The sequence below is a fragment of the Homo sapiens genome, chromosome 12 (assembly GCF_000001405.40).
Source record: "Homo sapiens chromosome 12, GRCh38.p14 Primary Assembly".
Taxonomy (NCBI): Eukaryota; Metazoa; Chordata; class Mammalia; order Primates; family Hominidae; genus Homo; species Homo sapiens.
The window spans coordinates 104,482,000-104,494,718 of NC_000012.12; the positions used below are offsets into that span (position 1 = coordinate 104,482,000).

The 12,719-nt window shown below is 46.6% G+C and overlaps 1 protein-coding gene across 4 annotated transcripts in view, besides 4 other annotated features; it reads left to right on the top strand.

Moving 5' to 3' along the window:
- CHST11 (carbohydrate sulfotransferase 11) overlaps positions 1 to 12,719 on the top strand; it is a 305,067-nt gene that overhangs the window by 25,052 nt on the left and 267,296 nt on the right. The gene's annotated exons all lie outside the window — the stretch shown is intronic.
- Positions 933 to 1,433: an enhancer, noted in NCBI's record as "H3K4me1 hESC enhancer chr12:104876710-104877210 (GRCh37/hg19 assembly coordinates)". NCBI's record gives its function as "activates a minimal SCP1, AML or CMV promoter by ChIP-STARR-seq in primed H9 embryonic stem cells {active_cell/tissue: H9 hESC(primed)}" and the evidence as "EXISTENCE:reporter gene assay evidence [ECO:0000049][PMID:30033119]".
- Positions 10,009 to 10,212: a silencer, noted in NCBI's record as "fragment chr12:104885786-104885989 (GRCh37/hg19 assembly coordinates)". NCBI's record gives its function as "represses an EF-1alpha promoter that drives an FKBP-Casp9 reporter gene in an ReSE screen in K562 erythroleukemia cells {active_cell/tissue: K562}" and the evidence as "EXISTENCE:reporter gene assay evidence [ECO:0000049][PMID:32094911]".
- Positions 11,297 to 11,466: an enhancer, noted in NCBI's record as "experimental_23928 CRE fragment used in MPRA reporter constructs". NCBI's record gives its function as "activates a minimal promoter by MPRAs in K562 erythroleukemia cells, with activity observed for the introgressed 12:104887159 variant allele {active_cell/tissue: K562}" and the evidence as "EXISTENCE:reporter gene assay evidence [ECO:0000049][PMID:34662402]".
- Positions 12,089 to 12,278: an enhancer, noted in NCBI's record as "active region_6917". NCBI's record gives its function as "activates an Ori minimal core promoter by ATAC-STARR-seq in GM12878 lymphoblastoid cells {active_cell/tissue: GM12878}" and the evidence as "EXISTENCE:reporter gene assay evidence [ECO:0000049][PMID:35858748]".

Here is a 12,719-nt window from a genome sequence, read left to right on the forward strand (position 1 = left end):
GCTAATTTTATTGTATATATATATATTTTTTAGTAGAGACAGGGTTTCACCATGTTGGCCAGGCTGGTTTCAAACTCCTGACCTCAAGCGATCCACCCACCTCAGCCTCCCCAGGATTGTTTTCTTGATTTTATTTTTGGATAGATTGTTGCTGATATAAAGAATGTATGGCTCTTTTTTTTTTTCCTATTCCTCACTACCTTCTGCCTTCCTTTCGCCTTCCCCCATCCCTTCTCTTTGCTGAAGACGGTGTGTCATCTGGGGTAACCCTGGGTATTTACGAGCCAGTGGAGGCTGCTCTGCCACCTGGGGCTGCTGGGCCCCAGAGCCACATCAAACAGGGAGCCCCCCCCCGCAAAAATGAAAGGAGGCCATGTCAAATGGGCAGCTGGTGTTTACTTCTTTTAAGTTTAGGCACATCCTTTACATCCACATGGCTTTATTTTTTAGGCAAGTGGGCTCACCACTTTCCTAGACCATGTGGCCACTGCCTCCCTTCCCTTTCCCCACCCTCAGTGTCATTTTGGCTTTTCCCACAGAGGAAAGGCTCACAGAACTCCAACGTGGTTCTGCTTGCTTAGATCGATGAGACAAGATTTTGGTCCTTTGAGCAAGGTAGGAGTTGTTGTAATAAGAGCTGACAATTATGGAGGACCTAGTGTGTGCCCGGAGCTTCACACACATTGCCTCAAATTCTCACAACGGCCTCATAAGGTACATGTTACCTGGACAAAGACAGCAGCTCAGAGAACTCATTCCACTTACCCAAGGTTGCAGATTTCAACTCGGTCCCAACTCACTCCAGAGTCTGTGCATCCCCCCACTTAAGACTTTAATGTCTTAAAAATGTCCCCACTTCTTCTGTCTTTTAGTGGCTTCACGTCTGAAGTCTCTGCTTACTTTTTGGAACAGATGGTGGTTCTCATAGACTTGGCCCGGAGTCAGCATGGGAGAAAGTCATCCTGTCTGAAACAGTGCTGATTCGGGTCACCACAGATTCAAGGTTTCTAACCTTGGCTCTACTTAAGAACAACTTGGACATCCTTTCATGTAGTTCATTGATACCCACATGCCTCCTGGTGCAATATCTCCAAAACTGGACTCCTGCATCTTCACATGCTCACCCTTCACACCCCATCCATTCTCCACACCCTTCACATCCCAGTTCCTGAAGGCAGGTCCCTTGGTTACAGTCTCTCCCCATGCATTTGGTTGTTTTTTGTTGAGATGGAGTCTTGCTCTGTCGCCCAGACTGGAGTGCAGTGACGTGATCTCAGCTCACTGCAACCTCTGCTTCCTGGGTTCAAGAGATTCTTCTGCCTCAGCCTCTCGAGTAGCTGGGATTACAGGTGCCAGCCACCATGCCCGGCTAATTTTTGTATTTTTAGTAGAGACAGGATTTTGCCATGTTGGCCAAGCTGGTCTTGAACTCCTGACCTCAGGTGATCGGCCTGCCTCGGCCTCTCAAAGTGCTGGGATTACAGGCGTGAGCCACCGTGCCCGGCCTCCCCATGCACTTTGACTTTTTTTCATTGCACTCCATTTGTCCATGCAGCAATCCCTCAGGATGTGATTCATTCAGCCTGCCAATTTTGGATAATAAGAGAAGAGAGTTCAGATACAAACTCCCCAATGTTACCTGCATCTCTTTGGTTCCTGCTTTTGGAGAGTAAGGGGTACCTGAGTTTGTTTTATGTCTCTTCTTCAGTATTCTGCTCCACAAGCTCCACGTGTACTTATTCCTCAGTACGCCCCCTTAGTGAGTTTGTTTATTGGGTGAGTGAAAGGAACAGATGAGTAGATGAATGACCCAGGTGAGGCCTGGGGTCGGGGAGGACTGTGGCTCTTCTTACCTGCTGTTGAAGCTGGCCTGGTGGAGGAGGCTGGAGGCAAAGGTGGGGACGTAGTCTCTGTAGCTTCTGCAAGTAGAGGGTCTGCTGCTGGGGTCAGGGAGGATCTGAACCTGGGCCTGCTTGACTCTACAGTCTGTTTGTTTCTACTACTGTCTGCGAAGGTCTGCTGTTTCTACTGCTACATAGTCACCTGCATCTAGGTCTTCTTTTTGCCATTGTTGGGAATTGGCATAAGATGGAATGAGATTAGATGGCATCATGGTCAGAGTGACCCATTTCCTAATGGTTCCTCTCCTGGTTAGTGGCTGGAGTGGGCAACAGAGACAAGTCATCTTTCAGTGGGTCATTGCCAAGGAGGGAAAGACTGGGCTTGGAGAGCTGTGTGCTGGTTCCTGGGAACAGGCATCCTTGGCTTGAGATCACAAATGGGACAGCCCCATCATGACGATTCACGATCACATTAACATACTCAGTGCTCTGGGAAGTCCTGCCATTAAGAACCCCAGTTAACCCAGAATTTCTTAAACTTACACAACCACAGAATCTTTTTTGGGGACTGGAGAGGTACCACTTCATTTATTCATTAAATAGTTACTGAGCACCTACCCTGTGCAGATGCTATTCACACCTGAGATATGGAGGTGACAAGGCAGACCTGGCAAACTTACAATGTTCTCATCTATAAAATGGGTATACAGGAGTGTCTACCTTGCAGGGTTATGGTGAGGTCTACATTTAATGAACTAATGCAGGGTAAGTGTTTGGCACAGCCCAGGGACATTGTAAGTGGTCAGTGATACATATGTATGATTGTTATCACCCTAGTGGAGGATCAGATATTAAACAATTAAACAGGTACCTATTTAGTAACAATGGCGTTAAGTTATACAAAAGAGAAGGACAGGGTGTCAAGAGAGCACATAGCAAGGAAACCTAATGAATGTTGGCAGGTGGGATGGCGGTAGTGGTCACAGAAGGCTCTCTCCTGAGCAAGCCATGCTGAAGCTAAGACATGAAGGATGTGGGGATTGTTGGAAAAGAGTGGGAAGGGAGTGAGGCCTCCTTGCCTTGGGAATCATGGCCCGAATGTCAGGGGCTTACACACACGGGTGCCGTCTGGGGAGTTAAATTCTCTGGACTGTCTATTTCAGAATTAGGGAGGTAGGGGCAGGCTCTAGTAGGCTGTGGGGTCCAGAAATGAATGTCTTTAAAACTTACCCCAGAAATTTGGAGCACCCTTGGGAATATTTTTTGGAATTGCTGCTCCAGGACAGCGGGCCTCAGAGGTTCATGTGCTTAGAAATCACCTGAGTCTCACTCAAAATGCAGCCGTGGGGCCTGGGAATCTATTTAACAGACACATCCTGAGGCGATTCTGCTGCAGGAGGTTCCCCGACCTTGCTTTGAGAAACACATCTCTGGAAGATTGACTCTTATAAAAAATCGGGAACACGAAGGCACGACAGCAAATGATTCCAGCAGAGAATATACAGGGGCACCTCTAGAGACTTTGTATTTGATCTTAGAAAGTACACAGTGGGCAAGAAGAGTGGTATGCAACCCCATGTCAGGAGGGCCACAGCTGCAGGGAGCGGGGCTCGGAGGAGCTGCAGATCCTAAGAAGGATCCACGACCTTTGGGAACCTCGCTGTTTCTGGCCTTCTGCTCACCGCAGAGGGTGAACTGGCCATCTGACACCCAGCTCCAACTTCAGGGTTGTTCAATGTCTGTGTGCAGTTGTGACAATGGCAGAAACAATCGGTTTAGACTTTCTCTGCAGAAGGTAGACTGACTCGGGCACTTCTCTATGTTCCCTGACATTGCCAGTCTTAGGAATTGGTCGTGGGGAGCCTTGAATTCAAGCCCAAAGCAACTTTAACATTCATAACCACAACGCATCTGTAATCAGCGGGACTTATCATGAGTTCTTGAGCTGCAAATGGAAACGGTGGAAACTGAACAGACCTCCTACCACAGACTTCCTGCTGATCCACCTGCCTCCTCCCTTCAGGGCCCCTTGGGTTGTAATCACTGATGCACCATTGTTAGGCGGCAGGGTGATTTAAGGTGAATTGGGCCTTTGCACGGCCTGCTTGGTTAAAAGCTGGAGCATAAGTCATCGCACCATTCTGTGTGCGTGTGTGTGTGGGCATGTGTGTGCATGTGTGCACGTGTGTGCCTGTGTGTGCCTGTGTGTGTGTGCCCATCTTCGTCTTCCTTCCCCTCCCAGCCTTCCCTGCCTGGGCTTTGGGGCTCCCTGTGCTGTGAATTTCACTTTGCTGGGTTACTTCCAGTGCATGCTGCTAGTCATTCTTGCTTGACCTTTAAATTTTTCTCTTTAGGGAAAATATGATCATTAGTCTGTGTTCTCCAGCAGATGTATACCAGTCACGGGCAGTCTTCCTGCTTCACTTCACATCCATGGGGAAAAAGTGTTTTAAAGTCAGTGTGATTTTTTTTTTTTTTTAATGACACAGAAATGAATATTAGACTAGAGGGCCGCTCTGTCGAATGGCTGTTTGGACAGGAATCGGGGAATGCAGCGGGGTGCTCCCAGCTTTCACAAATGATGACTTCAGCTGTTTGGGGGTCTGACTTCTTGCCTGTTGGTGACACAGTGTGGCTGGACTGTGGGGTTCACCAGCCAGAACTTAATCCTGGGCTTCACAGCCCATGCATGCATGAGAGAGTTTGACAGATGTGGGCTGCATTTTCTGGTACGTCTGGATGGTGAGATTGTCTAGAAGGGTGTGTTTCTGGAACTTTCCAGTCAGGCTTCACCATGGTGAGTATTTAATGACCACACACGAAAGCCTCATTGCCAGGGCCGCTCCCTGGCACAAACCGAATCATAGAATCATGGAATTTCAGAGCTGGAAAGAGCCCCTGAGCCGACTGAAGGGGAAAAGAACTTCCCTGGGAGTAGGAAGACCCAAATTCGGGGCTCCTGCCCTACTCCCATTGCAGCTGAACATGATTTCTGAAGGAAGAGCATGTTTAAAACGAAGGGGGGCATACTAGCCTTCTACCCTTTGTTACACAAATACATAATAGTCCAATTCAGCAATCCAACAGCGCAAGGCTTTTATAAAGAGGCATGCCCAGATAGAGTTAGGAATATACCAAAGCAAAGCACATTTCTGGTCTGAGATATTTTAAAGTCCTCTCTTGGTTTTCGGTGAATCCTTTGGTCGATACAGTAGACTTTATAAATGAAGAACACAGGCTTGCCAGATTATAGTTTCTGTCTGCCTAAAAATAGCCTTCTTTCCATCCCATGACTGTCAAGAATTCTTGCTTGTAATAACCCCGTTATCAACATTACTAGACTCATAATAATGACTGTCTCTTCTTGAGTGCCTGATACATGCTATGCCAGGTGCTTTAGAAACAATATGTTGGTTTTTCTTTTTTTGTTTTGTTTTTCTTGAGACAGGGTCTCACTGTCTTCCAGGCAGGAGTGCAGTGGCATGATCATAGCTCACTGCAGCCTTGACTTCTTGGGCTTAAGCGATCCTCCCACCTCAGCCTCACAACTAGCTGGGACTACAGGCACATGCCACCACACCTGGTTAATTTTTAAACTCTTTGTAGAGACAAGGTCTCAGTATGTTGCCCCGGCTGGTCTTGAATGCCTGAGCTCAAGCGATGCTCCCGCTTCAACCTCCCAAAGTGTTAGTATTACAGGCATGAGCCATTGCTCCTGGCATTGTCTTGTTTAATACAGCTTTAGAGATGTTTTCATTGTCCTTATTTTACTGATGAGGAAGTTGGGCTTGGAGAGGTAAAGATATTTATCTGAGCTCACCAGCTGAACTTAGATTGCTGGCTCCTTTAAGAATCCTGTAAAAATGCATACGAAACAGTATGTACCTATTTTTTTTTTTTTAAACAAAGTGGAGCTTCCTGGGTGAACATAGAGTTGCGTATCATTTAATTATTTGTATTCTCTTGCATGTCTCCTTGCGTGGTTAAAATACTGGTACATTTTTCTTTTTTTTTCTCTATTTTTTTTTCACAAGGAGATACCACTTCGTACATCTATTAGAAGATTTATTTTTATTTTTATTTTTTGAGACAGAGCCTTACTTTGTTTTCCAGGCTGGAGTGCAGTGACACAATCATAGCTCACTGCAGCCTCGAACTCCTGGGCTCAAGCAATCCCCCTGCCTCAGCCTCCCAAGTAGCTGGGACTACTGGTGCGTGCCACCACGCCTGGTTTAAAATCCTGGCAAACTTTTCAAAAACAAACATTATCTGGCAACTAATTTTTTTATATGGATGATTTTTTTTTTCTTTTTAATTAAGCTAGCTTGTTAGGGGCCCAGGGCTTCTGAGAATTGGCTTTGCACATGGGAACCACGTTCAAAGGACGGAGAAAGATGTTGCTGCCCAAGATGGCAGGTGCAGGTGAGGGTGCTGTGGAGGGTGAGGAGGTGCTCCACATGCAAAGCCCCTTGGGGAGCCTGAGAGTAGAGAGGTCTGTGTGTGTGTATGCATGTGTGTGCGTATGTGTATGCGTGTGTATGTGTGTGTATGTGTGCGTGTGTCCAGGTATGTGTATGTGTCTATGTATGTGTATGCATGTATGTATGTGTGTATATGCATGTATGTGTGTATGCATGTGTATGAGTGTGTGTATGTGTGTCCGTGTATATGTGTGTGTATCTCTGTGTGTATATGTGTGTATGTGTGCGTGTATGTGTGTGTATGCGTGTGTATGTGTGTGTATGTATGCGTATGTATGCGTATGTGTGTATGTATGTGTGCATGTATGTGTGTGTGCGTGTGTATGTGTGTGTGTATGTGTGCGTGTATGTGTATGCGTCTGTGTATGCGTATGTGTGTGTATGTGTGTATGTGTGCGTGTATGTGTGTATGTGTACGCGTGTGTGTGTGTGTGTGTGTGTGTGTGTGTGTCTATACACATACCAAGCCTGTTTGGTTGTTCACCGTTGTGTTAGTTTGCTAGGGCTGCTATAACAAAGTACTGCAAACTGGGTGGCTCGCAGTTCTGGAGGCCGGAAGTCCAGGATCAAGATATTGGTAGGTTGGTTCCTCCTGAGGCCTCTCTTCTTGGCTTGATGGCCACCTTCTCACTGTGTCCTCACATCCTCACATGGTCTTTTACCTCTGTGCACCTCCCTGATGTCTCTTTCTGTGTCCTAATTTCTTCTTCTTCCTCTTTTTTTTTTCCTTGAGATGGAGTTTTGCTCTTGTTTTGCCCAGGCTGGAGTGCAATGGCATGATCTTGGCTCACTGCAACCTCCACCTCCCAAGTTCAAGTGATTTTCCGGCCTCAGCCTCCCAAGTAGCTGGGATTACAGGCGTCCGCCACCATTCCCAGCTAATTTTTGTATTTTTAGTAGAGATGGGGTTTCACCATGTTGGCCATGCTGGTCTCGGACTCCTGACCTCAGGTGATCTGCCTGCCTCGGCCTCCCCAAGTGCTGGGATTACAGTTGTGAGCCACTGCGCCTGGCCCTAATTTCTTCTTACAAGGACACCAGTCAGATTGGATTAGGGTCCATCCACTGTTTTGACTTAATTACCTCTTTAAAGGCCCTGTTTCCAAATATAGTAACATTTTAAGGTCCTTGGGGGTAGGAATACCCTATCTTTTATTTATTTATTTATTTATTTTTGAGATGGAGTCTCACTCTGTCGCCAGGCTGGAGTGCAGTGGCACGATCTTGGCTCACTGCAACCTCCCCGTCCTGGGTTCAAGTGATTCTTCTGCCTCAGCCTCCTGAGTAGCTGGGACTACAGGCATGCACCACCACGCCCAGCTAATTTTTGTATTTTTGGTAGAGAGTTGGCCAGGATGGTCTCAATCTCTTGACTTTGTGATCTACCCACCTCGGCCTCCCAAAGTGCTGGGATTATAGGCATGAGCCACTGCGCCCGGCCAGAATACCCTATCCTTAAACATGAATTTAGGGGAGGGGAGGACACAATTCAATCTATAACAACTATCACTGGCTGATTTTGGCAGAGGCCTGTGGCCTCCAGTATTTTGAGGGAGCTGAGGGCCACTGATCTCTCCATATGCTCTCAACATCATGGGACTAGTAGGATGAAAGCAAGCCTCAGACCAGATTCTACCTCAAGCAGGCACACAAACATTCATGCAGCTTCTACTTGGAGCCTGATGAAGTTCAAATTGTTTGTCCTCTGAGGCTCTCTTTGCATGGAAATTTCTCCCATGACAGATGAGAAAGTTCTGGGGCAGCATTCAGCTTTCTAGTTGGATTAGGCAACAGAATCCTTTGAAAATGTCTGTGCACAGACCAGGTGGCTCTCTGGGCCAGTGTACTCTGAAAGATGTGTGTCCTGGCCTAGCTGGTTGAGGAAAAGCAGGGCAAGCCTAGCCAAATCACACATCTTGAACAGCCCTCATTCGTTATACTAACTTTCCCACCCTCTGGTGTGTATAGGAGATAAAGATGGCAGACGTGCTATTAGGCTGCCAATGGGAGTGGGCTCTGATATGGTCTTTCAAATATGAATCACCCCTGGCATGTGTGTTTCCTGTTTAAGGTTCTCAGGTATTACCCAACTGCACCAATATTAAAATGGACACATACCGTGTCATGCAGTTGGTGCCGAAGTGTTTTAAGGGAAGTTGTAGGCAATGTGAGTTTATCAGAAAACTTCACCATATCAGCATTTTGCCCTGAGCTTACACCATTCCCAGATCAAGGTACAAGCACAATGATTTCCTTTCTTGAAAAGTTCAACAAAAGCAAGAGAGAGAGATTGGAGTTGATGCTGCATTTTTATTCTGTGTTAAGTCTTGAACCTGCTGTTGCTGAACATTGGTCAGGGGAATTTGAGAAGTGGAAAGTGGGCTTTTTTCACCCTTTGAAAAGAGAGGATGGATTCTTCACCAGAACTGACATTTAAAAAAAGTCAGCGTGGCACGTTTTAGTATGTGTGGCAGATCTAAAGAGACAATATTTTGATCTCAGGAGTGTTTATTCTTGAACCATTTTCAGAACTCTAAGATTTGAGAAATAATAAAATATTGACCATCCTTCAAAGAGAAAAACACAGGGCGATCTTTGGCATAGCCTGTCATTTTGCTCACATTTCACTTCTCTCTCTCCAACTTCAGAGCCCCTGCTGTGGAACAGGTGCTGTGCTGGGTGGCAGGGGAGGTCTCTGGCTTTTTTTTTTTTGATCTCCGTCTTAACATCTAGCCTACTGGAGGAAGTGTATTTAATCATCCACTTATCTGTTAACAATTATCTCTGAGGGCCCGTCACATTCAGAGAAGATTCTAGGTTCTCTACAAGTATCCTCTCACTGTGTACATACTAAATCAACATCCTGCTGGATTTCCCCCAGACATCTCCCTTCATCACCATTGGAGAGTATCCTCTAATTGCCAGCCCTATTCACCATACTCATCTCATTTGATCTGGAGTTTTCTGAGAGTGACCGGGGGTGGGATGGACAGGATAATTTAGCAAGAGTGTATAAGTAAAATCTATATAATAAAAGTTATCTCCCTGTGCCCCCCATGATCTATTCTTTATGTAGCAGTCTGAATGAGATTTTCAGAAACAAGAACCACTTTACCTTAGTCTCTTCTTCTTCTTCTTCTTCTTTTCTTTTCTTTTTTTTTAGTATTATGGGGATCTGTTTCTGTTGCCCAGGGTGGAGTGCAGTGGTATGATCTTGGCTCACAGCAGCCTTGAACTCCCAGGCTCAAGTGGTCCTCCTGCCTCTGCTTCCCTAGTAGCTAGGACTACAGGTTTGTGCCACCACACCTGGCTAATTGAAAAAAGAAATTTTTTTTCAATAGAGACAGTGTCTTGCTATGTTCCCAGGCTAGTCTCAAACTCCTGGCCTCAAGTGATCCTCCTGTCTCATCCTCCCAAAGTGTTGGAATTACAGGTGTGAGCTACTATACTCGGCCAGTACCCTTCTCAAAACACTTCAGCACTTCCCATTGCACTTGGGTTGAAATTCCCACCACTCACTGGGGCCCACAAGACTCTTCAAGACTGAATCCTTGCTCAACATTGTGACCTGCCCCCTACCACCTGCAGCCTCACTTGCTGTGCTCCAGCCATGTGGATCTTCCTCCTGTCTCTAAAACTGCCTCAGGTCATTTGCACCTGCTGTTCTTCCCAAAGGCTGTGTGATTTCCATCAGTCAGTCTTAGCTCGTATACCTCCTTGGAGACACCTCTTCTGACCAACCAGTCCAAAGAATCTCCTCTTACCATGTCACTCTGTTTTATTTATTTATTTAGAGATGGAGTCTCGCTCTGTCACCCAGGCTGGAGTGCAGTGGCGCGATCTCTGCTCACTGCAAGCTCCACCTCCTGGGTTCATGCCGTTCTCCTGCCTCAGCCTCCTGAGTAACTGGGACTATGGGCACCCACCACTACACCCAGCTAATTTTTTGTATTTTTAGTAGAGATGGGGTTTCACTGTGTTAGCCAGGATGGTCTTGATCTCCTGACCTTGTGATCTGCCTGCCTCCACCTCCCAAAGTGTTTTATTTATTTTAAAGGCATGTATCACTCTCTGAAAATTAGCTTCTTTCTTCTTTTTCCTTGTTATCATCCATTTCCCCGAACCAGAATAGAAGTTCCTGAGGCCAGAACTTCTGTCTCTCTGCCCCTCACTATGTGTCTCTGGCACATACCCCAGTGCCTGCCTGCTCTAAAGTAAAATCTTAGTAAATATTACTGTTGACTAAATAAATGAATAAATCCCTTTTAATGCCCTTTGGAAGTTGCAAGTAAAGAATAGGATCCCTTTTTAAGATTACACTTTTGGCTATTGATCTGTGTGTCTGGAACAAGATACAGTTTGAAGATACTACCATGGGACATGACATCAGTTGAGCTGATTAAGGTTTTAGTAATAAGAATCCAGGATGTGTCCGGGTGCGGTGGCTCACGCCTGTAATCCTAGCATTTTGGGAGACCGAGGCGGGCAGATCACGAGGTCAGCAGTTTGAGACCAGCCTGACCAACATGGTGAAACCCCGTCTCTACTAAAAAATACAAAAATTAGCCGGGTATGGTGGTGTCCACCTGTAATCCTAGCTACTCAGGAGGCTGAGGCAGGAGAATTTCTTGAACCCGGGAGGCGGAGGTTGCAGTGAGCCGAGATCACACCAGTGCACTCCAGCCTGGGCAACAGAGCAAGACCCAGTCTCAGGAAAAAAAAAAAATCCAGGACGTAACTGAGGAAAATGAAGTGGAAATGAAATGCACACTTACCTATAGCTGTGTTTCCTACTGTCAGTGAGGTCAGATGTTTTTGACCAAAAAAAGATCGGAAAGTGAAATAAAACTAATGGAAATGGTGCACGATGGCTCAGTGGTTTGCAAGCAATGCAGATGGCCTCAGCCATTCACATTCAGGCAGGAGCCGCTGATCCTAGTGTTTACCTTGGAGCTGGTATCCAGTAATGTGGCAAGATGTTTATTGCTTTCTCATCAGATGATGGATGTGGAAGAGAATGTTTTTGCCCTGGAACCAGGTAGGCCTTGGGCTACTTAATTTGCTCTTTAATAGACATAGGTGTTCTTGAAGTACACCTGTCATTCCCTTAACAGAGCACCTATGAGGTGCCAGGTGCTGAGGGTTCGTTGGTGAATGAAGTACATTTTGTGGCTTCTAATCCAGTGGCTTTGGACATGTCCTGGTGAGAGGGGTGGAAATAGTGTATGCGAATGTGTGTCAAATGCCTCAGAAGTGGGAAATGGAGGGAGAGTTTGAAGGCCTGAAGGCGTTCCATCAAAGCTTCCTTCCTTGCCGTCTCTACCCTTCCCTCAACTCTGGCTCAGGCAAATGCTCAAAGTGACTCACCCTGGTAGGCACGGAAAGACAAGAGAGACTTGGATGTAGAAAGACACATTTACAGTTTGTGGAGGGCCGTCCCTTCGGACACATTTCATCAGTGGGTGTGATGCTGCCTGTGGTATCACATGTGCAGCAGCAGGGTGTTCGGTTTTGTTTTTTGAGACTGGGTCTTGCTCTGTCACCCAGGCTGAAGTGCAGTGGCACCATCTTGGCTCACTGCAGCCTCCATCTCTTGGGCTCAAGTGATCTTCCCACCCCAGCCTCCCAAGTAGCTGGGACTAAACACACACACCACCATGCCTGGGTAATCTTTTGAGATCTCACTGTATTGTCCAGGCTGGTCTTGAATTTCCGGGCTCAAGCAAGCCTTCTGCCTTGGCCTCCCAAAGTGTTGGGATTATAGTGTGAGCCACCGTGCCTGGCCTAACAAGATGTCTGTATGTGAAGCCACATTCCTGGCCCATCCACAGTCACGAGGACTTGGGACTACAGGCTGGGTGACAAAATTGAGCTGATTTCCCCAAATCTCCAAGGAGATCCCCTCTGAAGAGATGCCGTGCCGATGAGAGACAGAGCCTGCACCACGAAGCAAAGGCAGGAGCTTGTGAGCTTGTGAGCTGACCCCTCTGGCCTTGGCCTCTTAGTGTCTATAGCCCGTCACTGCCTTAAAGCCACCACATCACATGTCACTGTTCTTCAACACTGCTCTTATTTGAATGTCTCAGTGATAACATCTCAGAAATGAAAAACAGGGTCTCCACTTCTGAGGATGTGACAAGTGAGTTGGAGGCAGTTTCCCAGGGGAAGGATTTTTGTCTCAAAGCATTAAAATAGAATCCGTTCTAAGTCAGAATATTCCTTTTAAAGTTAACTTCACAAAACTTCTCTGATCTTGATCCTCTTGCTAGCAGCTGACTGCCGAGGATGGGTTCCAGCGCTTCTCAGAACAATGTCGTAGGCGTATTAGCTCTGTAAGTCACCACGAATTCAGAATAATAACTGTGGGGTGGGGTGCGGGCTCACTGATTGACTCGGA